General features: G+C 66.6%; 1 protein-coding gene and 1 long non-coding RNA gene across 5 annotated transcripts in view, besides 5 other annotated features; one reads left to right on the top strand and one right to left on the bottom strand.

Annotated features, from left to right (window-relative positions):
- Positions 1 to 170: part of an enhancer, noted in NCBI's record as "H3K4me1 hESC enhancer chr9:139922830-139923574 (GRCh37/hg19 assembly coordinates)", that runs on past the window's edge. NCBI's record gives its function as "activates a minimal SCP1, AML or CMV promoter by ChIP-STARR-seq in naive H9 embryonic stem cells {active_cell/tissue: H9 hESC(naive)}" and the evidence as "EXISTENCE:reporter gene assay evidence [ECO:0000049][PMID:30033119]".
- Positions 1 to 233: part of a biological region, named in NCBI's record as "H3K4me1 hESC enhancer GRCh37_chr9:139922830-139923574", that runs on past the window's edge.
- The window catches only part of LINC02908 (long intergenic non-protein coding RNA 2908), a 10,492-nt gene extending 9,408 nt beyond the window's left edge, over positions 1 to 1,084 (bottom strand). Inside the window, exon 1 of the long non-coding RNA NR_171031.1 lies at positions 637 to 1,084. This is a non-coding gene — a long non-coding RNA (long intergenic non-protein coding RNA 2908). The remainder of the gene's footprint in view (positions 1 to 636) is intronic.
- ABCA2 (ATP binding cassette subfamily A member 2) overlaps positions 1 to 21,314 on the top strand; it is a 21,689-nt gene extending 375 nt beyond the window's left edge. The window contains exons 1-49 of one of the 4 annotated variants that reach the window (NM_001606.5): positions 311 to 473; positions 4,312 to 4,405; positions 4,708 to 4,710; positions 5,496 to 5,607; positions 5,683 to 5,846; positions 6,070 to 6,197; positions 6,547 to 6,657; positions 6,938 to 7,156; positions 7,487 to 7,854; positions 8,053 to 8,212; positions 9,242 to 9,370; positions 9,478 to 9,645; positions 9,733 to 9,829; positions 10,197 to 10,370; positions 10,473 to 10,575; positions 10,647 to 10,761; positions 10,856 to 11,046; positions 11,202 to 11,352; positions 11,424 to 11,628; positions 11,810 to 11,974; positions 12,077 to 12,257; positions 12,374 to 12,586; positions 12,677 to 12,873; positions 12,952 to 13,134; positions 13,451 to 13,635; positions 13,738 to 13,858; positions 14,144 to 14,380; positions 14,510 to 14,716; positions 14,985 to 15,087; positions 15,230 to 15,546; positions 15,623 to 15,836; positions 15,958 to 16,063; positions 16,172 to 16,283; positions 16,386 to 16,446; positions 16,530 to 16,704; positions 16,799 to 16,914; positions 16,994 to 17,141; positions 17,239 to 17,362; positions 17,443 to 17,575; positions 17,811 to 17,928; positions 18,177 to 18,355; positions 18,424 to 18,565; positions 18,645 to 18,779; positions 18,904 to 19,007; positions 19,086 to 19,178; positions 19,495 to 19,597; positions 19,680 to 19,817; positions 19,926 to 20,132; positions 20,584 to 21,314. In NM_001606.5, coding sequence (NP_001597.2) covers positions 408 to 473; positions 4,312 to 4,405; positions 4,708 to 4,710; positions 5,496 to 5,607; positions 5,683 to 5,846; positions 6,070 to 6,197; positions 6,547 to 6,657; positions 6,938 to 7,156; positions 7,487 to 7,854; positions 8,053 to 8,212; positions 9,242 to 9,370; positions 9,478 to 9,645; positions 9,733 to 9,829; positions 10,197 to 10,370; positions 10,473 to 10,575; positions 10,647 to 10,761; positions 10,856 to 11,046; positions 11,202 to 11,352; positions 11,424 to 11,628; positions 11,810 to 11,974; positions 12,077 to 12,257; positions 12,374 to 12,586; positions 12,677 to 12,873; positions 12,952 to 13,134; positions 13,451 to 13,635; positions 13,738 to 13,858; positions 14,144 to 14,380; positions 14,510 to 14,716; positions 14,985 to 15,087; positions 15,230 to 15,546; positions 15,623 to 15,836; positions 15,958 to 16,063; positions 16,172 to 16,283; positions 16,386 to 16,446; positions 16,530 to 16,704; positions 16,799 to 16,914; positions 16,994 to 17,141; positions 17,239 to 17,362; positions 17,443 to 17,575; positions 17,811 to 17,928; positions 18,177 to 18,355; positions 18,424 to 18,565; positions 18,645 to 18,779; positions 18,904 to 19,007; positions 19,086 to 19,178; positions 19,495 to 19,597; positions 19,680 to 19,817; positions 19,926 to 20,132; positions 20,584 to 20,619 — 7,311 coding nt within the window. In that variant the 5' untranslated portion in view covers positions 311 to 407 and the 3' untranslated portion in view covers positions 20,620 to 21,314. Of the gene's footprint in view, positions 1 to 310; positions 474 to 4,311; positions 4,406 to 4,707; positions 4,711 to 5,495; positions 5,608 to 5,682; positions 5,847 to 6,069; positions 6,198 to 6,546; positions 6,658 to 6,937; positions 7,157 to 7,486; positions 7,855 to 8,052; positions 8,213 to 9,241; positions 9,371 to 9,477; positions 9,646 to 9,732; positions 9,830 to 10,196; positions 10,371 to 10,472; positions 10,576 to 10,646; positions 10,762 to 10,855; positions 11,047 to 11,201; positions 11,353 to 11,423; positions 11,629 to 11,809; positions 11,975 to 12,076; positions 12,258 to 12,373; positions 12,587 to 12,676; positions 12,874 to 12,951; positions 13,135 to 13,450; positions 13,636 to 13,737; positions 13,859 to 14,143; positions 14,381 to 14,509; positions 14,717 to 14,984; positions 15,088 to 15,229; positions 15,547 to 15,622; positions 15,837 to 15,957; positions 16,064 to 16,171; positions 16,284 to 16,385; positions 16,447 to 16,529; positions 16,705 to 16,798; positions 16,915 to 16,993; positions 17,142 to 17,238; positions 17,363 to 17,442; positions 17,576 to 17,810; positions 17,929 to 18,176; positions 18,356 to 18,423; positions 18,566 to 18,644; positions 18,780 to 18,903; positions 19,008 to 19,085; positions 19,179 to 19,494; positions 19,598 to 19,679; positions 19,818 to 19,925; positions 20,133 to 20,583 lie in introns of those variants that run through there. The other 3 variants (NM_212533.3, NM_001411042.1, XM_047422921.1) reach the window with 3 other exon arrangements.
- Positions 54 to 233: a silencer, noted in NCBI's record as "silent region_20566". NCBI's record gives its function as "represses an Ori minimal core promoter by ATAC-STARR-seq in GM12878 lymphoblastoid cells {active_cell/tissue: GM12878}" and the evidence as "EXISTENCE:reporter gene assay evidence [ECO:0000049][PMID:35858748]".
- Positions 5,376 to 5,955: an enhancer, noted in NCBI's record as "H3K27ac-H3K4me1 hESC enhancer chr9:139917045-139917624 (GRCh37/hg19 assembly coordinates)". NCBI's record gives its function as "activates a minimal SCP1, AML or CMV promoter by ChIP-STARR-seq in naive H9 embryonic stem cells {active_cell/tissue: H9 hESC(naive)}" and the evidence as "EXISTENCE:reporter gene assay evidence [ECO:0000049][PMID:30033119]".
- Positions 16,913 to 18,112: an enhancer, noted in NCBI's record as "CDK7 strongly-dependent group 2 enhancer chr9:139904888-139906087 (GRCh37/hg19 assembly coordinates)". NCBI's record gives its function as "activates an origin of replication core promoter dependent on BRD2, BRD4, P300/CBP, MED14 and CDK7 cofactors, with strong dependence on CDK7, by STARR-seq in HCT116 cells {active_cell/tissue: HCT116}" and the evidence as "EXISTENCE:reporter gene assay evidence [ECO:0000049][PMID:35650434]".

Genomic DNA, 21,314 nt, shown 5'->3' with positions numbered 1-21,314 from the left:
AGAAGAGCGCAGCGCCCGAGGGTCCCCCGGCCTACGAAGGCTAAGCCGGGGTCTCGGATTCGATGTGGGCGCGTCGCGTGACGCCCGGCGAGGGGCGGCCCGGAGGCTTCCCGGCGGCGGCGCGCGCAGGGTCTCGGGCCCGGGTCGGTCCCGGGCGCGGCGCGGGCGGCGGGCGCCTCCTGGCGGGCGCGGACGGAGCGCGGCGCCTTTAAGCGGGGGCGGGCGGGGCGCGGGCAGAGTCGCTGTCGCCGCGGCCGCCGGGGCGGAGCCAGCGCGGATCGGGTCCCGGACGCCCGAGCGCCCCGCCCCCGCGCGGGCGATGCCCAGCGGCGCGGCGGGCTGCGGGGCCCGGCGGGGCGCGCAGAGGAGCGGGCCGCGGCGCTGAGGCGGCGGAGCGTGGCCCCGCCATGGGCTTCCTGCACCAGCTGCAGCTGCTGCTCTGGAAGAACGTGACGCTCAAACGCCGGAGCCCGGTGAGCCCACCCCACGCGCCCGCCCTCAGCCCGAGGCCGCGCGCACCGCGGCCAGAGGCGCGCTCCCCGCGCGCACGTGCGGACGGCCGGGCGCGCGCAGACCCCGGCGGGCGCTGGGGGCGGCGCGGGCCCGAGCCCCCTCCCCGCCGGGCCCTGCCCTCGCCTGCCGGCGCTGCGGCCTCCGGGGAGGTGGCTCGGTCGTGTCCAGTCCGGTCCCGCGTCCGCTGACATCGCGGTGCTCGGCTGAGTCACGGCACCCGCGCCCTCTGCAGCGCGCTCGCTGGGGCCGCTGTGGGCGGGGGGCAAGCGGCGCTCAGGACTCTGGCTCGAGGGAGGCCCTGGTTCCCAGGACAGAAGGCAGGCCTGGGGGGCTCCATTCAGCTGCGAGGCTCCATGGTCCTTGGGCCCAGCCTCCCTGGGGTCCCGGAGGAGACCCTGTCCCTTCCCTCCGTCCACCCCTCCCCTGCCCTTGGGCCGCGGCCTGCCATAGAGGTTGGTCCCAGGCATCTCTCCGCCTCCCCTCCTGGCACATCCGTGACCCTTGCTCATGCTCTCGCCACTGGGAATGTCCTTGTGCCAGCCTTGGCCAGCCTGAATCTCTGCACCCATTTGTCCTTTGGGGTCAGTTCTCCCCGAGCCTGATCCACTCTGTTGCCTCCTGGTCCCCCCACCTGCTCTGGGGGCTGGGTCTACTGTTTGGAGCTGTGAACCCCGGCTTTCCCAGCACTGCCTGGGCAGCCAGTGGACCTGAGGGTGCAGGACACATGGCTGTCAGGGACAGAAGTCCTTCGTGGAGCGAGGGGCTTGGGGATATGGGTGTCCTGCCATACCCCCAGCTGGCCAGCTTGGCTCCAGCCTGGGAAGGGAAGGGACACCTCCCAGGCCACAGGCCTGGACCAGCTTAGGTTTCTGAAGGCCCTTGGGATTGTCCAGGCCAGGGCTCAGAGCAGGTGGGGGCCTAAGGCAGACATCCTCTTGCCCAGCCAGGGCCCGGGCGGGACCCCTTGGGCTGCACCAGTCCGTGCCTGTTTATCTTTCAACATGCACTGCAGGAAACCCAGGCTGCAGTCAGCTGGGGTGGCCATCATCACCATGGCTGGCAGAATTCCCCTGGGCACCTGGCCTTGGCGGGGAGCCTGGGTTAGGTACATGCCCTGGCCAGGCACCTGGAGCTGGCTGAGTGGGGTCCCATGGATCAGGCCTGCAGCCCCTGGCATTGAGTCACTGGGGACAGCAGAGCAGGGCCAAGGGAACAGGGATGTGGCATGTGGCATGCATTAGTATTAGTCCCCGGGGGTGGTTGTCAGGAAGGTCCCCACTGGGCTTGGGAGCAGAGGCTGGAATGGTGGCCCCTGTTCCAGTGGGGACAATGCTCAGGGAAGGGAGTGTGGCCTATGAGGGCAGCTGGCAAGCAGGTGGGAGGTGTGCACTGTCCTGACCGCAAGAGTGACTCCCAGCTGCTGGTTTGGGCTGCCCCCCAGGACCTTTTTGGGTCCCCACCCTACAGGGCTCCCAGAGGCCCACTGGGCCACAGTGGAGGTCCTTAGCCCATGGCTGGAGCAGGTGGGGAACTGTTTCCCCCAGGGAGGCTGAGTCCTTGCCAGGCTTGTGATGTGGGGCTGGGGCTGGCTGGACACTGGGCACACTCCTGCTGGGTCCCCACTTTCCTGGGAAGGATCTTGGACATCAGAGCTGGACTCTTGGGGCCAAGCTTGGATGACAGAGGTTTGCCCTGTGTGCCATGCGCCCTGCTGGGGCAGGGGTGCACCCTGGGCAGAGCTCCACCCTGGGCAGAGCTCAGGGTCTGGAGGGTGGGTGCCAAGGACCTCTGTGCTGCTAGCAGGCTCCTCCAAGCTCTTTGCCTCAGTTTCCCTGTCTGTGAGTGTGGCCTATCTCCTCTTAGTTAGCTGGACTTGGGTCTACCCTTGGGCTACAGGCTGCTCTTGGTGCAGGGACAGGGTCACTGTCATGAAGTCACTGGGATGGCAGATGGCAGCGCCACCCTCGGGTCTCACCTGTTCTCCCCCCGACACAGTAGGCGGGAGCTACAGGGAGGGGTCATGCCCAGAGAAGGCATCTAGGCCTCCAGGCGATGTGAAGGCACTGGGCTGGTCTCGAGGGACGGAGGTTGGGCCACCTGGAGGCACCTGTGTGGGGCACCCAGGGCGTGCTAGACCTGTGCTGCCGCCTGTAACCAGATGCTGCTGTGGCGCCCGCCGCCTGCCAGCCAGGACTCTCCTCCTCCTCCCAGTAGCTCGTGCGAGGCCGTTGCTATAGCAATGGGGGAGGCAGCCGGGCCTGTTGCTGCAGTTACAGTGCCCATAGCAGGCCGGGTGTGGGCGGGGCTGGCGCCCCGTGCTGTGACCCCTGCCTCTGACATTGCCTCACTCCTGCAGCCACCCTCGCCCTGGTGCCTGTTGGTGCCCACAGTGCCTTGGCGAACCCTGGGCTCCGTCCTGGCTCAGGGAGCGGGTGGAGGCTGGCACGGGCTGGGGCGGGCATGGGACACCCACAGCATGATGTTCCTGGCCACAAAGCCCTATTGTCCAAGCACAGTAAACACAGCAGCCGCCCCCACCCCAGGGACCGGGGACTCGGCCCGGGCCACACAGCACACTGGGGGCTCTGAAGGGTTTTGGGATGGGGATGAGGACAAAGGATGCCTCCGAGCTGGGTGCTCGCCCTCGGGCTAGGGAGGGCAGGGCCCCTCTGTCCTGTGGGTCTCAGAGAGGGCTGGTCTGCCGAGGGCTCTCTGGAGGGTAGCTGGCTCAAGCTCCTCCTCCTCCCTGAGCTGGGGGCTGGGACACAAGAACCGGTAAAGTCCTTGGTTTTCAGGTGAAGTGAGCAAAGCACCTCTTTCTCACTCCACGCAGGTCCCACTAGGGCTCACCTTGGTGCCCAGCCTGGGTTAGCAGGAGCCGACCTGGGGAAACTGAGCTCCAAGGCCCAAGACTGGCTGCCCCGGGTCAGGAGAGGGGACAGGGCAGAAAGAGGTGCCTTTGGGCCAGGTGTGGTGGCTCACGCCCAGGTGGGCGGATCACGAGGTCAGGAGATCGACACCATCCTGGCTAACACGGTGAAACCCCGTCTCTACTAAAAATACAAAAAATTAGCTGGGCATGGTGGCGGGCGCCTGTAGTCCCAGCTACTCGAGAGGCTGAGGCAAGAGAATGGTGTGAACTTGGGGGACGGAGCTTGCAGTGAGCTGAGATCGCACCACTGTGCTCCAGCCTGGGTGACAGAGTGAGACTCCGTCTCAAAAAAAAAAAAAAAAAAAGGTGCCTTTGCTTCAGGGACTGGGGCTGTTAGACCCCTTACCAGGTCTTCTCCGAGGCTCAGGGCCCTGGGCGCAGGCCAAGCCTCTCAACCAGGCCTCCTCATCTCCCCAGGCCCCGGTATTGGTGGGGAGGAAGTGGGAGGAAGGTGAACCCGGGGCAGTGTGGGAAGTGTAGGCGGGGCTAGTGGCTCAGATGGTCCCCAAGATTTTGCCCAGGTAGCCCTGGAGGTGGGGAGGGAGAAGATGAGCTGGGATATACATGGGTCAGAGTAGACCACAAGCTGGCCGATTTGTCCCTGTAGGCCCTGAGGCTCCTCAGAGGGCACGTAGGCCCAGTGTGGGCTGGGGACGGGAAACCTGATTTGCTGAGCCAGACAATCCTTACCCTCAGTGCCCTGGAAGGGGCTCAGACCTTCAGTGGTTCCGAAGGGCCTGTGCCCACCTTCCCTGGCCCCAGGGAGCACGTGGTCCTGTCTGGGCTGGGCCAGCCCTATGGGAGGCTGGGGAGGGCCTAGGCGAGCACAGGTCTGTCCTATCCCTCACTGGGCCCACCCTTTCCAGTGGGTCCTGGCCTTCGAGATCTTCATCCCCCTGGTGCTGTTCTTTATCCTGCTGGGGCTGCGACAGAAGAAGCCCACCATCTCCGTGAAGGAAGGTGAGTGCGGCAGGAGGCCCCAGGCACAGCCGGGGGAGCGCGGCACCTCGCACGCCTGCGCTGTGTGTGCACATCTGCACACGGGTGTCCTGCTCCCGGAGTCCCTGAGGTGCGGTGCCTGCTCCCCTGTGTGGTCCTGGGCCGTGCCTCCTGGCTGGGCTGTGGAGGTCGGGGCTGGCCTGTGGCCGCGAATGATGATGCCAACGCCTCTTCCTGGTGATGTGGGCACTCACTGGTCTCCTCTGTTCTGTTTTGATCCCCCTCCCTCCCCGCATGGTCTCTTGTCCTCGGCTGGCATGCAGTCTGTAAGTGAGCGGCCACCTCCTCCTGGCTGGCCTGGGCAGCAGCTGCGGGGGGCCCATGGGCCGTCCTGGCTTGAGCGCCCTCCCCGCTTGCATTAACAGCCCTCCCGGGCCCCCTGCCGGCCTCAGGAACAGCTGGCTCCAGATGGGGGGTGGCAGGCAGTGAAGTGGGAGGTGGTAGGGAGTGAAAGGCCCGGCCACCTAAAGGCACAGCTGGTGCCTGGGTCAAGCTGAGGCGGCATCTCTCTGCCTGGCCTTGCCTTCTAGGGCTGGGGTGCCTCGGCTTCTGGGCTGAGTCTGGGCTGAGGCTGGGCTGGCCTGGGCTGGGGCTGGAGCGGCCTGGCTACTCTCCCTTCATACTCCTTCAGGCTCTTGCACTCACTCTGCTAACCAGCTGGCCAGAGGTCAGAGGTCACTGCCCAGAGGGGGTCCTTTGTCCTCCCCTGGGCTCTGTAGGCAGTGCCACACCTGAAACGTTTTCGGGGGGAGAGTGCCAGGGCATGTGGGCCTGCACTGGCTGAAAGGAAAGGAATGCTCTGGGAGTTATGGCAGAAGGGGTGGTGAGTGGCTCTTTGACCTCTGACCTGCTGGAGTCATTCGCCCCAGAACGCTTGGCCTGTAGCCCAGCTGGGGCCAGGGCTCTGTGCCGCCTTCTCCCTAACGCTGCTTCTCCTTCCTGACTTTCTCTAAATTTCTCCTCTCGGCCTCTGTCTCCCTCCCCTTCTGGATTCCTCTCTCTCTCTCTCCCCTTTCACCCCCGACCCTGCCCTCTCCCGTGGGTCTGCCAGCCTTCTACACAGCGGCGCCCCTGACGTCTGCCGGCATCCTGCCTGTCATGCAATCGCTGTGCCCGGACGGCCAGCGAGACGAGTTCGGCTTCCTGCAGTACGCCAACTCCACGTGAGTGCCCACCCGCCCCTCGGAGCACCCACCCCTCCCCAGCCCATCCAGTGAGTGACATCCGCCATGGTGCAGGGTCACGCAGCTGCTTGAGCGCCTGGACCGCGTGGTGGAGGAAGGCAACCTGTTTGACCCAGCGCGGCCCAGCCTGGGCTCAGAGCTCGAGGCCCTACGCCAGCATCTGGAGGCCCTCAGTGCGGGCCCGGGCACCTCGGGGAGCCACCTGGACAGATCCACAGGTGTGCCCTGTGCAGGGAAGTTGGGGGGCAGGGCTGCGGGCAAAGCTCTGCTGTCACTGGGCTGAAGCCCACATCCACTCTGGGCCCCTCCACCTGCACTGAGTTCCCAGCCACGCACAGGCTGCAGTGGCAGAGCTGTGGTGTTGGGCTCGGCTCCGAGCGCATGTGGGGGCACCTTGCCAAGGTGCAGCGGCCTCTCAGCCTCGCCTTCCTGCCTGTCCAGTGTCTTCCTTCTCTCTGGACTCGGTGGCCAGAAACCCGCAGGAGCTCTGGCGTTTCCTGACGCAAAACTTGTCGCTGCCCAATAGCACGGCCCAAGCACTCTTGGCCGCCCGTGTGGACCCGCCCGAGGTAAGGCAGGGACAGCTCCCAGCCCTGGCCACTCCCTTCTGCCCCAGCCACGCCCCCTGGTTGCTGAGCCATCCTCAGGATGCTCAGCCTGAGTCACGCCCAGACCGTCTGAACCTTGCCCCCACCATCTGAGCCACGCCCCCACTCTCTGAGCCATGCCCCCACCATCTGAGCCACGCCCCCACACCTACATCGGAGCCACGCCCCCACCATCTGAGCCACGCCCCCACTCTCTGAGCCACGCCCCCACCATCTAAGCCACGCCCCCACACGTCCATCGGAGCCACGCCCCCACCATCTGAGCCACGCCCCCCACACCCCATCTGAGCCATTCCCCCACACCTCCTAGGTCTACCACCTGCTCTTTGGTCCCTCATCTGCCCTGGATTCACAGTCTGGCCTCCACAAGGGTCAGGAGCCCTGGAGCCGCCTAGGGGGCAATCCCCTGTTCCGGATGGAGGTGAGGGCATCCATGTGTGGGATGGGCCTGGAGTGCTGCCTGCCTCTGGGGGTGCTTCTGCTCCGTGGGTGAGGAAAGGGCCCCTTTGGTGACTTGGAGCTCCTCCTGGGAGAGGGGGAGGGTCCCAGGGGTCTATGGCAGGCATGAGGGGTAGAGGCATGTCGTGGGACCCAGGCAGCCCCAGAGCCAGCCAGTGGGTGGGGCAGGGTGAGGCCTGAGGCCCTAGTGGTTGGGGACAAAGTCCTTGCCGTGGCTCCACGGACCCCTGTGCCCATCCCAGGAGCTGCTGCTGGCTCCTGCCCTCCTGGAGCAGCTCACCTGCACGCCGGGCTCGGGGGAGCTGGGCCGGATCCTCACTGTGCCTGAGAGTCAGAAGGGAGCCCTGCAGGGCTACCGGGATGCTGTCTGCAGTGGGCAGGCTGCTGCGCGTGCCAGGCGCTTCTCTGGGCTGTCTGCTGAGCTCCGGAACCAGCTGGACGTGGCCAAGGTCTCCCAGCAGGTGAGGCCCTGCCTGCCCACTGCCCGCTGCGCTGCTTGCTGCCTGAGTTGAAGGAGGGGCTGGGACCGCTTGGAGAGCTCAGGGCTCCTGGGCCCAGGCTGTGCGTGGGATGCTGCCTGTGGGTGGGTATCCAATGGCACCATGGCTGGTGCCCCACTCCTGCTCACCATCCCAGCTCCTGTCCTGGGCTCCCGTTACCCAGGCTGCAGACTCCCTCCCAGCACCCCTAGCTTGTGTCTCCCTGCTGCTGTCTCCCTGCTCCACTCCTGACCTATCACCCACCTGCAGTCCATCTCACCCCGCACTGCCCACGTGCCTGTTTCCCCTCAGCTGGGCCTGGATGCCCCCAACGGCTCGGACTCCTCGCCACAGGCGCCACCCCCACGGAGGCTGCAGGCGCTTCTGGGGGACCTGCTGGATGCCCAGAAGGTTCTGCAGGATGTGGATGTCCTGTCGGCCCTGGCCCTGCTACTGCCCCAGGGTGCCTGCACTGGCCGGACCCCCGGACCCCCAGCCAGTGGTGCGGGTGGGGCGGCCAATGGCACTGGGGCAGGGGCAGTCATGGGCCCCAACGCCACCGCTGAGGAGGGCGCACCCTCTGCTGCAGCACTGGCCACCCCGGACACGCTGCAGGGCCAGTGCTCAGCCTTCGTACAGCTCTGGGCCGGCCTGCAGCCCATCTTGTGTGGCAACAACCGGTAGGTGGGCGGCAGGGGAATGGGGGTGAGGAGGACAGCCAGGGGCAGGGCGTGAGCCCTGAATCTAGGCTCTGGCTCTGGAGGTCTCATTTGGCGCCCTGCCCTGTGCCCCGAAGTCCTGCCCCATCCCGATGCCCCTCCCACTCTCGCGGCCCTGCCCCCTAACGGCCTGGCCCGGCCCCCTGTCCCCTACCCCAGCACCATTGAACCCGAGGCGCTGCGGCGGGGCAACATGAGCTCCCTGGGCTTCACGAGCAAGGAGCAGCGGAACCTGGGCCTCCTCGTGCACCTCATGACCAGCAACCCCAAAATCCTGTACGCGCCTGCGGGCTCTGAGGTCGACCGCGTCATCCTCAAGGTGCACGGGTCTGGGACGCTCCATGTTTGACAGGCAGAGTGGGAGGGGGTCTCTGCAGGCCTGGGACCCCTGGGCAGAGGGTGTCGGCAGAATTGACACGGGAGGGGTACGGGGTGCAGCTTCGGATGGGACACAGGCTCTGCAGGTGGGGGACCAGGGGGTCGCTTTTCCTTTCGGGAGCTCCAGGGGCTGCTGTGGGAAGGCACTGGAGAGTCTGCTCTGGCAGGGTCCTCCGGCTGGGGGTGGCCGGTCCAGGGCAGTGCTGGTGGAGGAGGGGTGTGTCCAGAGACCTTCCAGAGTGTCTCGTGGGCGGGCAGCTGGGCAGTTTGGGTTCTGGGTGAGGGGTCCTGTCTGGAACAAGCAGAGGCCAGGGCTGGACATTGGCCTGGGAGGGGAGGGCCTGTGGACGAGGCCAATCCTGGGTGTAGAGGGGGTCCCTAGGATGAGGGTGGGACAGATGAGGGTGGAGCATTGGGTGCTTAAGGGACACATGGAGACAGGTCCAGCAAAGGAGCTGGTGGGCACAGCTGGGCAGTTGGGGGTCCGGAGGCCGTGCTGCCCTGGGAGTGGAGGGCAAAGCAGGTTTCACCTGAGCGCCGCAGAAAGGAGTGGAGAGCCCGGGCGTGGGACTCACGCTTGAAATCCCAGCACTTTGGGAAGCCATGGTGGGAGGATCGCTTGAGCTCAGGAGTTTGAGACAAGCCCGAGCAACATAGCGGAAGCCCGTCTCTACCAAAAATACAAAATTAGCCAGGCGTGGTGGTGGGCACCTGTAATCCCAGCTACTTGGAGGGCTGAGGCGGGAGGATCCCTTGAGCCTGGGAGGTGGAGGCTGCAGTGAGCTGGGACTGCACCACTGCACTCCAGCGTGGGTGACTGAGACCCTGTCTCAGGAAAAAAAAAAAAAAAAAGGTGGGGAGGGTTAGTTGTTGGCAATGGACCAGCCACTGGGGAGGTGAGTGGGGTGAGAGCCCCCAAGTCGGTGGGGGTCCGTCCAGAAACTCCATGCCCCTGCCTCACCCCCTGCAGGCCAACGAGACTTTTGCTTTTGTGGGCAACGTGACTCACTATGCCCAGGTCTGGCTCAACATCTCGGCGGAGATCCGCAGCTTCCTGGAGCAGGGCAGGCTGCAGCAACACCTGCGCTGGCTGCAGCAGGTGCCAAGGGTGCCCGCGAGGGAGGCGGCTGTGGGTGGTGTGGGGAGCCCCTCTCTGCCCGGCTCGGCAGGCGCAGGTCCCCCTCTGAGCCGCCCCTCCACCCCAAGTATGTAGCAGAGCTGCGGCTGCACCCCGAGGCACTGAACCTGTCACTGGATGAGCTGCCGCCGGCCCTGAGACAGGACAACTTCTCGCTGCCCAGTGGCATGGCCCTCCTGCAGCAGCTGGATACCATTGACAACGCGGCCTGCGGCTGGATCCAGTTCATGTCCAAGGTGAGCGGTGGGGCCTCCGAGCCAACCCACGACACCCCCTGCCTCGCACATGCCCACGGCGGGCTCCAGCGATGCCCCTCCCGCTAGGTGAGCGTGGACATCTTCAAGGGCTTCCCCGACGAGGAGAGCATTGTCAACTACACCCTCAACCAGGCCTACCAGGACAACGTCACTGTTTTTGCCAGTGAGCTGCCCTCCCCGCCCCGCCCCAGCCCCCCACAGACCTCTTCCTCCCCAGCCCAGCCCCACCCGTCCCCCTGTGCCCTCCCACTCCTTGGCCGCGCCCTGGCCTTCCCCCCTCACCCGCCACTTCCCCTCCCCACCCCTGCCCCTTCCAAACGGCCCCAACCCACAACCCGCCCCCTCCCTGCACCTCCCCACTTCTGCCCACCTTTCCCCTGGGGCCCCCACCCCAGCCCTGTCCCACCTTTCCCTGGACCCTCCTGTCCCCGCCCCCACACCTTGGCCCCGCCCCCGTGCCTTGCTTTCCCCCCCACCACGCCTTGGTCCCGCCCCTGCATCTTGGCCCCGCCCCAACCTCCCGGCCCCAGGTGTGATCTTCCAGACCCGGAAGGACGGCTCGCTCCCGCCTCACGTGCACTACAAGATCCGCCAGAACTCCAGCTTCACCGAGAAAACCAACGAGATCCGCCGCGCCTACTGGCGGCCTGGGCCCAATACTGGCGGCCGCTTCTACTTCCTCTACGGCTTCGTCTGGATCCAGGGTGAGGAGCAGGCCCGGAAGACCGGCTGGAGGATTCATGGGGGAGGACAGGTGTGAGGACGAGAGGGCCTGCCCGGCACCTGATGGCTGCCCCCACCCACAGACATGATGGAGCGCGCCATCATCGACACTTTTGTGGGGCACGATGTGGTGGAGCCAGGCAGCTACGTGCAGATGTTCCCCTACCCCTGCTACACACGCGATGAGTGAGTGCTGGGCGCCCGGGGCTGGGGCTGGGGCTGGGGCTGAGTGGCGCCTGAGCGCGGCCTCCCCGCAGCTTCCTGTTTGTCATTGAGCACATGATGCCGCTGTGCATGGTGATCTCCTGGGTCTACTCCGTGGCCATGACCATCCAGCACATCGTGGCGGAGAAGGAGCACCGGCTCAAGGAGGTGCGCGGGCCGGGACTCTCCCTGGAGGCGCGGGCTGGCAGGGAGGGGCGGCGTCCTCCCCGGGGCCTGCCCCAAGCCCCTGGCCCACCCGCAGGTGATGAAGACCATGGGCCTGAACAACGCGGTGCACTGGGTGGCCTGGTTCATCACCGGCTTTGTGCAGCTGTCCATCTCCGTGACAGCACTCACCGCCATCCTGAAGTACGGCCAGGTGCTTATGCACAGCCACGTGGTCATCATCTGGCTCTTCCTGGCAGTCTACGCGGTGGCCACCATCATGTTCTGGTGAGCGCGGGCCATGGTAGGAGGGACCTGGGGCAGGCACTTGCCCAGCAAGCTCACCCCACATCCTCTCAGAGCCCCCTGGACCCTGGCACGGGCCTGCCCAGGAGGCCGGGCGTGCGGGTGGATGACGGTGCGCGTGGCCCCTGCCCACCCAGCTTCCTGGTGTCTGTGCTGTACTCCAAGGCCAAGCTGGCCTCGGCCTGCGGTGGCATCATCTACTTCCTGAGCTACGTGCCCTACATGTACGTGGCGATCCGAGAGGAGGTGGCGCATGATAAGATCACGGCCTTCGAGAAGTGCATCGCGGTGAGGGTCGCGGGCAGGCGGGCGGCTGGGGTGCCGGGCCACCCCACGTGCTGACACCACTGCCTTCTCAGTCCCTCATGTCCACGACGGCCTTTGGTCTGGGCTCTAAGTACTTCGCGCTGTATGAGGTGGCCGGCGTGGGCATCCAGTGGCACACCTTCAGCCAGTCCCCGGTGGAGGGGGACGACTTCAACTTGCTCCTGGCTGTCACCATGCTGATGGTGGACGCCGTGGTCTATGGCATCCTCACGTGGTACATTGAGGCTGTGCACCCAGGTACTGGCCAGCCCTTGGAGGGCAGGGGAGAGGCAGGGGTCCCCAGCCAGGGTTGGGGACCAGCAGTCTGTGTCCACTCCTGGATGCAGCACGGGTGGCTCCCTGGGTGGGCACGTGGCCCACGTGGTGGATGGTCACCCCAGGCCCTAGGTCAGCCTCCCCTCCCCTCCCCGACCCCCAGGCATGTACGGGCTGCCCCGGCCCTGGTACTTCCCACTGCAGAAGTCCTACTGGCTGGGCAGTGGGCGGACAGAAGCCTGGGAGTGGAGCTGGCCGTGGGCACGCACCCCCCGCCTCAGTGTCATGGAGGAGGACCAGGCCTGTGCCATGGAGAGCCGGCGCTTTGGTGAGGCTGGCATCAGAATGGTGGCTGGGGTGGGCGCTGGGTTCAGAGTCCTGGGTGGCCTTGGCGCCGCCCCCACCCTGCTGATCCACAGCCCTGGTGCAGAGGAGACCCGTGGCATGGAGGAGGAGCCCACCCACCTGCCTCTGGTTGTCTGCGTGGACAAACTCACCAAGGTCTACAAGGACGACAAGAAGCTGGCCCTGAACAAGCTGAGCCTGAACCTCTACGAGAACCAGGTGGTCTCCTTCTTGGGCCACAACGGGGCGGGCAAGACCACCACCATGTGAGTGTCGGAGGGGCAGGGCGGTGGGCATCTGCTGACCAGAGCAGGAGTCCTAGTCAGGGCAGGGTGGGGCCCCTGCAGAGGGCGTGGGGTCATGACCCCGCCCACCTACCCAGGTCCATCCTGACCGGCCTGTTCCCTCCAACGTCGGGTTCCGCCACCATCTACGGGCACGACATCCGCACGGAGATGGATGAGATCCGCAAGAACCTGGGCATGTGCCCGCAGCACAATGTGCTCTTTGACCGGCTCACGGTGGAGGAACACCTCTGGTTCTACTCACGGCTCAAGAGCATGGCTCAGGAGGAGATCCGCAGAGAGATGGACAAGTGGGTGGGCTGGGCGGGGGGCGGGGCAGGTGGGCGGAGGCCCTGGGGCTCTGCATAGCAGCAGCCCCATGCCCCACCTCCCTGTCCCAGGATGATCGAGGACCTGGAGCTCTCCAACAAACGGCACTCACTGGTGCAGACATTGTCGGGTGGCATGAAGCGCAAGCTGTCCGTGGCCATCGCCTTCGTGGGCGGCTCTCGCGCCATCATCCTGGACGAGCCCACGGCGGGCGTGGACCCCTACGCGCGCCGCGCCATCTGGGACCTCATCCTGAAGTACAAGCCAGGTGAGTGGGGTGCCGTGTGGGCAGGGGTGCGGGCGGCGCCTCCCCTGCCCCCTGACCCTGGGTCTGGCCTTGTCCTAGGCCGCACCATCCTTCTGTCCACCCACCACATGGATGAGGCTGACCTGCTTGGGGACCGCATTGCCATCATCTCCCATGGGAAGCTCAAGTGCTGCGGCTCCCCGCTCTTCCTCAAGGGCACCTATGGCGACGGGTACCGCCTCACGCTGGTCAAGCGGCCCGCCGAGCCGGGGGGCCCCCAAGGTCTGTGTTGAAGCTGCCTGAGCTGGCTTCGGGCCACCTTCTCCCCGGGACCCCCACCTGAGAATCCACAATGGAGAGGCTGGGCCCTCACCGTCACCCGCTGGGCCCAGGATGCCTGCTGGGGCCTGGCCCGCCCTCTGCAACGCCCGTATCTTGGAGAGGCTGGGTCCTCAGCGTCACCCCCTGGGCCCAGGATACCTGCTGGGGCCTGGTTCTTCCTCTCCAATGCCCATATCTTGACCCAGTTGGGTTCCCATTGGGGGTCCCTCCTCCCAGCCCCTGAGTGAATTCCTTCCTGCTCCCACGTCCCCCACAGAGCCAGGGCTGGCATCCAGCCCCCCAGGTCGGGCCCCGCTGAGCAGCTGCTCCGAGCTCCAGGTGTCCCAGTTCATCCGCAAGCATGTGGCCTCCTGCCTGCTGGTCTCAGACACAAGCACGGAGCTCTCCTACATCCTGCCCAGCGAGGCCGCCAAGAAGGGGGCTTTCGAGCGCCTCTTCCAGGTGTGAGGGCGCACGGGTCGGGGGGCAGTTGCAGGTGGTGGAGGTGGGCGCACTCCTGCCTGGGCGTCCCTGCCGCAGCCTCCCCCTCCACCGCCCCTGCAGCACCTGGAGCGCAGCCTGGATGCACTGCACCTCAGCAGCTTCGGGCTGATGGACACGACCCTGGAGGAAGTGTTCCTCAAGGTGTCGGAGGAGGATCAGTCGCTGGAGAACAGTGAGGCCGGTGAGGGGCCTGGACCACTTGCTCAGCCCACCCCACCCACAAGGCCCCAGCTCGGGCCTGCGCTGTCACTCCTGCCTGGTGTCTGGGGGCGCCACCCTGGTCCTGGGTGGAAGCCAGGGGACGCCCCGGGGTTAGCCTGCGGTCCTAGGTGGGTGGTCCTGGTGGCCAGAGGTCCCGGACAGGTGTATGAGCCTGGGAACTGGGGTCAAGACCGGGGATGGGGGTCCTGGGCAGGCCTAGGGGCCAGTAGCCCTGAGTGTCCCCTCGGCCCTTCCACTGCGGCAGATGTGAAGGAGTCCAGGAAGGATGTGCTCCCTGGGGCGGAGGGCCCGGCGTCTGGGGAGGGTCACGCTGGCAATCTGGCCCGGTGCTCGGAGCTGACCCAGTCGCAGGCATCGCTGCAGTCGGCGTCATCTGTGGGCTCTGCCCGTGGCGACGAGGGAGCTGGCTACACCGACGTCTATGGCGACTACCGCCCCCTCTTTGATAACCCACAGGACCCAGACAATGTCAGCCTGCAAGGTGGGGGTGGCAGGGTGAGGCTGGGACAGCAAGGGAGGGGGAGCAGGGTTGCGGGGGAGCGGCATGAGGGCAGCCAGTAGGGAGAGGGTAGCGTGCAACCACCTGCTCAGCCTCTACCTCTCTGCACAGAGGTGGAGGCAGAGGCCCTGTCGAGGGTCGGCCAGGGCAGCCGCAAGCTGGACGGCGGGTGGCTGAAGGTGCGCCAGTTCCACGGGCTGCTGGTCAAACGCTTCCACTGCGCCCGCCGCAACTCCAAGGCACTCTTCTCCCAGATCTTGCTGCCAGCCTTCTTCGTCTGCGTGGCCATGACCGTGGCCCTGTCCGTCCCGGAGATTGGTAGGCCACCGGCTGGACAGGGGTGCTGGGCTTGCCTCCCCCCACCGCCCGCTGGGAGCCCTGATGATGCCCACTCCTGAGCTTCCTGACTCTGGGCCTCACCCCACACCTGAGGCTGGGCACGCACCGGGGTTCATCCGGGAGTCCTGTCTCCTCGGGTCCCAGACCCCAGGCGTGGATCCCTTGGGGTTGGGGGAAGGGGACCGAGGCTTGGGGGCCGCTGGCCAGAGGGCAGAACCTGCTCAGGCCTCCCTGCTCGCCCTGCCAGGTGATCTGCCCCCGCTGGTCCTGTCACCTTCCCAGTACCACAACTACACCCAGCCCCGTGGCAATTTCATCCCCTACGCCAACGAGGAGCGCCGCGAGTACCGGTGAGGCCTCCAGCGGGGGCAGCCTTGGTGGGTGGGGCGAGTGAAGGGGCGGGGACAGCCTTGGTGGGCCAGGCGGGCGAGGGGGCGGGGCTGGCGAGGGGCGGAGACTGGCAGCCCCACCTCACACTGTCGGTGCCCGCAGGCTGCGGCTATCGCCCGACGCCAGCCCCCAGCAGCTCGTGAGCACGTTCCGGCTGCCGTCGGGGGTGGGTGCCACCTGCGTGCTCAAGTCTCCCGCCAACGGCTCGCTGGGGCCCACGTTGAACCTGAGCAGCGGGGAGTCGCGCCTGCTGGCGGCTCGGTTCTTCGACAGCATGTGTCTGGAGTCCTTCACACAGGGGCTGCCACTGTCCAATTTCGTGCCACCCCCACCCTCGCCCGCCCCATCTGACTCGCCAGCGTCCCCGGATGAGGACCTGCAGGCCTGGAACGTCTCCCTGCCGCCCACCGCTGGGCCAGGTAGTGGTTCAGGGGGCCTGCTGGGGGGGCAGGGGCAGTGAGGGGTCCTTCTCACCGCACCATGCTGTGCCCACAGAAATGTGGACGTCGGCACCCTCCCTGCCGCGCCTGGTACGGGAGCCCGTCCGCTGCACCTGCTCTGCGCAGGGCACCGGCTTCTCCTGCCCCAGCAGTGTGGGCGGGCACCCGCCCCAGATGCGGGTGGTCACAGGCGACATCCTGACCGACATCACCGGCCACAATGTCTCTGAGTACCTGCTCTTCACCTCCGACCGCTTCCGACTGCACCGGTGAGCTGGGTGGGGAGGCTGTGGGTGAGGGTGGCCGGCCACCAGCCACCTAGTCTCAACTCCTGCCCCTCTAGCCTCACTGCCTGCCTAGCCTCACCGCCCCTCCCACCTGCCTGCCCAGGTATGGGGCCATCACCTTTGGAAACGTCCTGAAGTCCATCCCAGCCTCATTTGGCACCAGGGCCCCACCCATGGTGCGGAAGATCGCGGTGCGCAGGGCTGCCCAGGTGAGCGAGGCTGCGGGCCTGGGCCCCGCTGTGTGTAGCGCCGCCCGAGGTCTGCAGGGACCCAGGTCTGAGGTCCTGGGGCCTTTCTGTGTCCTCTTCCTTCTGCAGGTTTTCTACAACAACAAGGGCTATCACAGCATGCCCACCTACCTCAACAGCCTCAACAACGCCATCCTGCGTGCCAACCTGCCCAAGAGCAAGGGCAACCCGGCGGCTTACGGTGAGCTGACATAGGCAGGGCGGGGCGGGGCGGGGAGGAGCTGGGGCCGGGGCGGGGAGGAGCTGGGGCCTGAAGCTGCCGCCCCCGCCCCGCCGTGTGCAGGCATCACCGTCACCAACCACCCCATGAATAAGACCAGCGCCAGCCTCTCCCTGGATTACCTGTAAGTGTGGCCAGTGGGGGATGAGGTGGGGCAGGTGGGCACTGCAGCCCCGGCCGTGAGGACTGAGGGCTTCCTTGCCCCAGGCTGCAGGGCACGGATGTCGTCATCGCCATCTTCATCATCGTGGCCATGTCCTTCGTGCCGGCCAGCTTCGTTGTCTTCCTCGTGGCCGAGAAGTCCACCAAGGCCAAGCACCTGCAGTTTGTCAGCGGCTGCAACCCCATCATCTACTGGCTGGCGAACTACGTGTGGGACATGGTGCGCCCGGCGTGGCCATGGGGTGCCCCGGCCCTTCTCATCCCCCATCCCCGCCCTGCCCCGGGTCTCTCACCAGCCGCCCCCACCCCTGCAGCTCAACTACCTGGTCCCCGCTACCTGCTGTGTCATCATCCTGTTTGTGTTCGACCTGCCGGCCTACACGTCGCCCACCAACTTCCCTGCCGTCCTCTCCCTCTTCCTGCTCTATGGGTAAGCGGAAGCGGAGGGGGGAGCGGCCTCAGGTGGGACCGGGGCTGCCTGGTGACCACTGCCCGCCACCTGCCCGCAGGTGGTCCATCACGCCCATCATGTACCCGGCCTCCTTCTGGTTCGAGGTCCCCAGCTCCGCCTACGTGTTCCTCATTGTCATCAATCTCTTCATCGGCATCACCGCCACCGTGGCCACCTTCCTGCTACAGCTCTTCGAGCACGACAAGGTGGGGCGGTGACGACATGGTGGGGGTGGCGGACCCTGCGGAGGCTGTGCCCCTCACCCCGGCCACCCCTGTGCCCCTGACCCCGGCCACCCCGCAGGACCTGAAGGTTGTCAACAGTTACCTGAAAAGCTGCTTCCTCATTTTCCCCAACTACAACCTGGGCCACGGGCTCATGGAGATGGCCTACAACGAGTACATCAACGAGTACTACGCCAAGATTGGTGAGGGGGCCCGTGGGGCGGGGAAGGCGGTGGGGGCCCCGCAAGGCCCAGAGCACAGGCCCTGAGCTGTCTCCCCGCAGGCCAGTTTGACAAGATGAAGTCCCCGTTCGAGTGGGACATTGTCACCCGCGGACTGGTGGCCATGGCGGTTGAGGGCGTCGTGGGCTTCCTCCTGACCATCATGTGCCAGTACAACTTCCTGCGGCGGCCACAGTGAGTGGGGGGCGGGGTGGGGCGGGGGCGGGGCGGGAGCAGGGATGGGTTCGGGGGTGGGGCAGGGTAGGGGCGGGGGTGGGGGCAGGGATGGGGCAGGAGGGGGTGAGGCAGGGGACAGCAGAGGGGCCTGCCCACCCTTCTTACATGCCACAGCCAGAGGATGCGAGGCTGGTGGCAGGGAGGGGCAGTGGGGGTGGCGAGCTGCTGGACACTGTCCACCCTGTCCCCCAAGGCGCATGCCTGTGTCTACCAAGCCTGTGGAGGATGATGTGGACGTGGCCAGTGAGCGGCAGCGAGTGCTCCGGGGAGACGCCGACAATGACATGGTCAAGATTGAGAACCTGACCAAGGTGGGCTCTGGGCATGTAGGGTGGGGCCTGGGTGGGGTAGGCCAGGGCCAGGGGGGTGGGGCCCCAGCAGTGGAGGTGGAGCCTGGGTGGGCAGGGCCCTGAGCTCTGGGGGTGGGGCCTGCATGGGGTGGGGCTGTGGGGCACGTGGCCCCCTGGGCTCTGGAGGTGGGGCAGGGTCTGGGTGGGGTGGGGCCAGAGGGGCAGGGTGGGGGCAGGATGCCCCGCTGAGTGGGCAGGCTCCTGGCCAGGTCTACAAGTCCCGGAAGATTGGCCGTATCCTGGCCGTTGACCGCCTGTGCCTGGGTGTGCGTCCTGGCGAGTGCTTCGGGCTCCTGGGCGTCAACGGTGCGGGCAAGACCAGCACCTTCAAGATGCTGACCGGCGACGAGAGCACGACGGGGGGCGAGGCCTTCGTCAATGGACACAGGTGGGGCGGGAGCCCTGGGTGGGCGGGGCCGCCGCGTCCTCACGCGCTGACAGCTGCCGTGTCCCCAGCGTGCTGAAGGAGCTGCTCCAGGTGCAGCAGAGCCTCGGCTACTGCCCGCAGTGTGACGCGCTGTTCGACGAGCTCACGGCCCGGGAGCACCTGCAGCTGTACACGCGGCTGCGTGGGATCTCCTGGAAGGACGAGGCCCGGGTGAGGATCTGTGGGGCGGGGCAGGGAGTCAGCACGCTGGGTGGCCCTGCCTCCACTGACACCTGCGTTCCCTGGCCAGGTGGTGAAGTGGGCTCTGGAGAAGCTGGAGCTGACCAAGTACGCAGACAAGCCGGCTGGCACCTACAGCGGCGGCAACAAGCGGAAGCTCTCCACGGCCATCGCCCTCATTGGGTACCCAGCCTTCATCTTCCTGGTAAGTCCTGGGTGGGTGGGGGGTGGCTGCCTGGCCTTTGACTTCCTGGTGAGCACGGGCAGGGGCAGCGTTCAGGCTGGGGTGTGTGGGCCTGGCAGCAGCTGAGCCTGCCACCCATCCCCAGGACGAGCCCACCACAGGCATGGACCCCAAGGCCCGGCGCTTCCTCTGGAACCTCATCCTTGACCTCATCAAGACAGGGCGTTCAGTGGTGCTGACATCACACAGGTGAGGGCGCCCCCACCCCCTCTTTGTGCCCCCACCCCACAGCACCCCTTCCGGTGCCAGCCTGTGCATGTCCCACAGCATGGAGGAGTGCGAGGCGCTGTGCACGCGGCTGGCCATCATGGTGAACGGTCGCCTGCGGTGCCTGGGCAGCATCCAGCACCTGAAGAACCGGTGAGCCGGGGCAGGGCCAGGGGTGGGCTGGGGCGGGCCCGGGGGGGGCGGCCAGGCAGCGGGGCCAGGAGTGGGGGTGGCTGCAGGGCTGTGAGGGCTGTGGGGCCAGGGGGGCTGGGGGCACTGGGGCTGGGGGGACTGGGGCAGTGGGGCCAGGGGAGGAGCCTGGAGGGCTGTGGGGGCTGTGGGGTTGGGGGGCTGTGGGAGGCTATGGGGCTTCCTGGGGTGCCTGTGGGGGCTGTAGGGCTGGGAGGCTGGGGGGCTGGGGCTCTGGCTGGGCGGCGCAGGGCTCCGGGCCACCGGCCTGTCCCACCAGGTTTGGAGATGGCTACATGATCACGGTGCGGACCAAGAGCAGCCAGAGTGTGAAGGACGTGGTGCGGTTCTTCAACCGCAACTTCCCGGAAGCCATGCTCAAGGTGCGCCGTCCCGGGCAGGGTTGTGGAGGGGGCGCTACGGGGTGGGGGGGCGCTGCCAGGCCTCTGACCTCCCCCCCTGCAGGAGCGGCACCACACAAAGGTGCAGTACCAGCTCAAGTCGGAGCACATCTCGCTGGCCCAGGTGTTCAGCAAGATGGAGCAGGTGTCTGGCGTGCTGGGCATCGAGGACTACTCGGTCAGCCAGACCACACTGGACAATGTGAGCGCCCCAAGGGCACTGCGCACCACACCTGCCCCTCCCCTCACCCGCCCTGCCCCTCCTCACCCCAGACCAGCCCCCTCCCCACACGCCTGCGCCACCCACCAGGTGTTCGTGAACTTTGCCAAGAAGCAGAGTGACAACCTGGAGCAGCAGGAGACGGAGCCGCCATCCGCACTGCAGTCCCCTCTCGGCTGCTTGCTCAGCCTGCTCCGGCCCCGGTCTGCCCCCACGGAGCTCCGGGCACTTGTGGCAGACGAGCCCGAGGACCTGGACACGGAGGACGAGGGCCTCATCAGCTTCGAGGAGGAGCGGGTGAGCAGGCTGCTCTCATGGCTGTCCAGGGCTCTGCCCACTGGACCCAGGCTGCCTGGTGGCTCCAGCCGCGGGTGGGGTCGGGGGAGAACTGGCCCCAGGATGCTTGCTGTCCAGAGGTCAAGGGGGCAGAGTGGGCGAGGGACACTTGCAGATAGGCCTGGAGAGACGTAACTGCATGGTCCAGACTTGCTAGAGTCTTTGAGGGGCACAGAGCAAGGGTGGGGCAGAGGGGACCAGAGCCGGGGAACAGGGGACCGATGTAGACTCAGTGGCCCCCAGACTCGGCAGACGGAGGCCCGGGAGAGCCCAGACACAGAGGGAGCTCGTGGGGAGACCCTGCGTCCAGGCCCAGCCTGCAGGAGGGCCGGGGCGGGCCAGCACAAGTGTCCTCAGCCCCAGCAGGGGGTGGCACAGGATGCCCCATAAGCCTGACCTCCCCTGTGCACAGGCCCAGCTGTCCTTCAACACGGACACGCTCTGCTGACCACCCAGAGCTGGGCCAGGGAGGACACGCTCCACTGACCACCCAGAGCTGGGCCAGGGACTCAACAATGGGGACAGAAGTCCCCCAGTGCCTGCCAGGGCCTGGAGTGGAGGTTCAGGACCAAGGGGCTTCTGGTCCTCCAGCCCCTGTACTCGGCCATGCCCTGTGGTCACTGCGGTTGCCGCCCCTAATTGTGCCAAAGGCTGACCCGGCCCGGGCTGCGTACACCCTTGCCCTGCTTTGCCTTAAAGCCTCGGGGTCTGCCCGGCCCCTCGCCCCTGCCTGGCACTGCTCACCGCCCAAGGCGACGCCGGCTGGACCAGGCACTGCTGGCCTTTCTCCTGCCCGGCCTCGGAACCAGCTTTTCTCTCTTACGATGAAGGCTGATGCCGAGAGCGGGCTGTGGGCGGAGCTGGGTCAGTCCCGTATTTATTTTGCTTTGAGAAGAGGCTCCTCTGGCCCTGCTCTCCTGCAGGGAGGTGGCTGTCCTGCGGGAAGCCATCAGCTTGGGCCAGCTGGCAGGTGGCAGGAATGGAGAAGCTGACCCTGCTGGCCAGGCAAGGGGCCAGACCCCCCCCAACCCCCAGCTGCCATCGCTCTCCCACCCAGCTTGGCCCCCTGCCCGCCCACCTCCCTGGGAGCCGGGCCTGTACATAGCGCACAGATGTTTGTTTTAAATAAATAAACAAAATGTC

The sequence above is a fragment of the Homo sapiens genome, chromosome 9 (assembly GCF_000001405.40).
Source record: "Homo sapiens chromosome 9, GRCh38.p14 Primary Assembly".
Classification (NCBI taxonomy): domain Eukaryota; kingdom Metazoa; phylum Chordata; class Mammalia; order Primates; family Hominidae; genus Homo; species Homo sapiens.
Note: the sequence above shows the minus strand (reverse complement) of the source record. Positions and strands in the feature narration are given on the sequence as shown.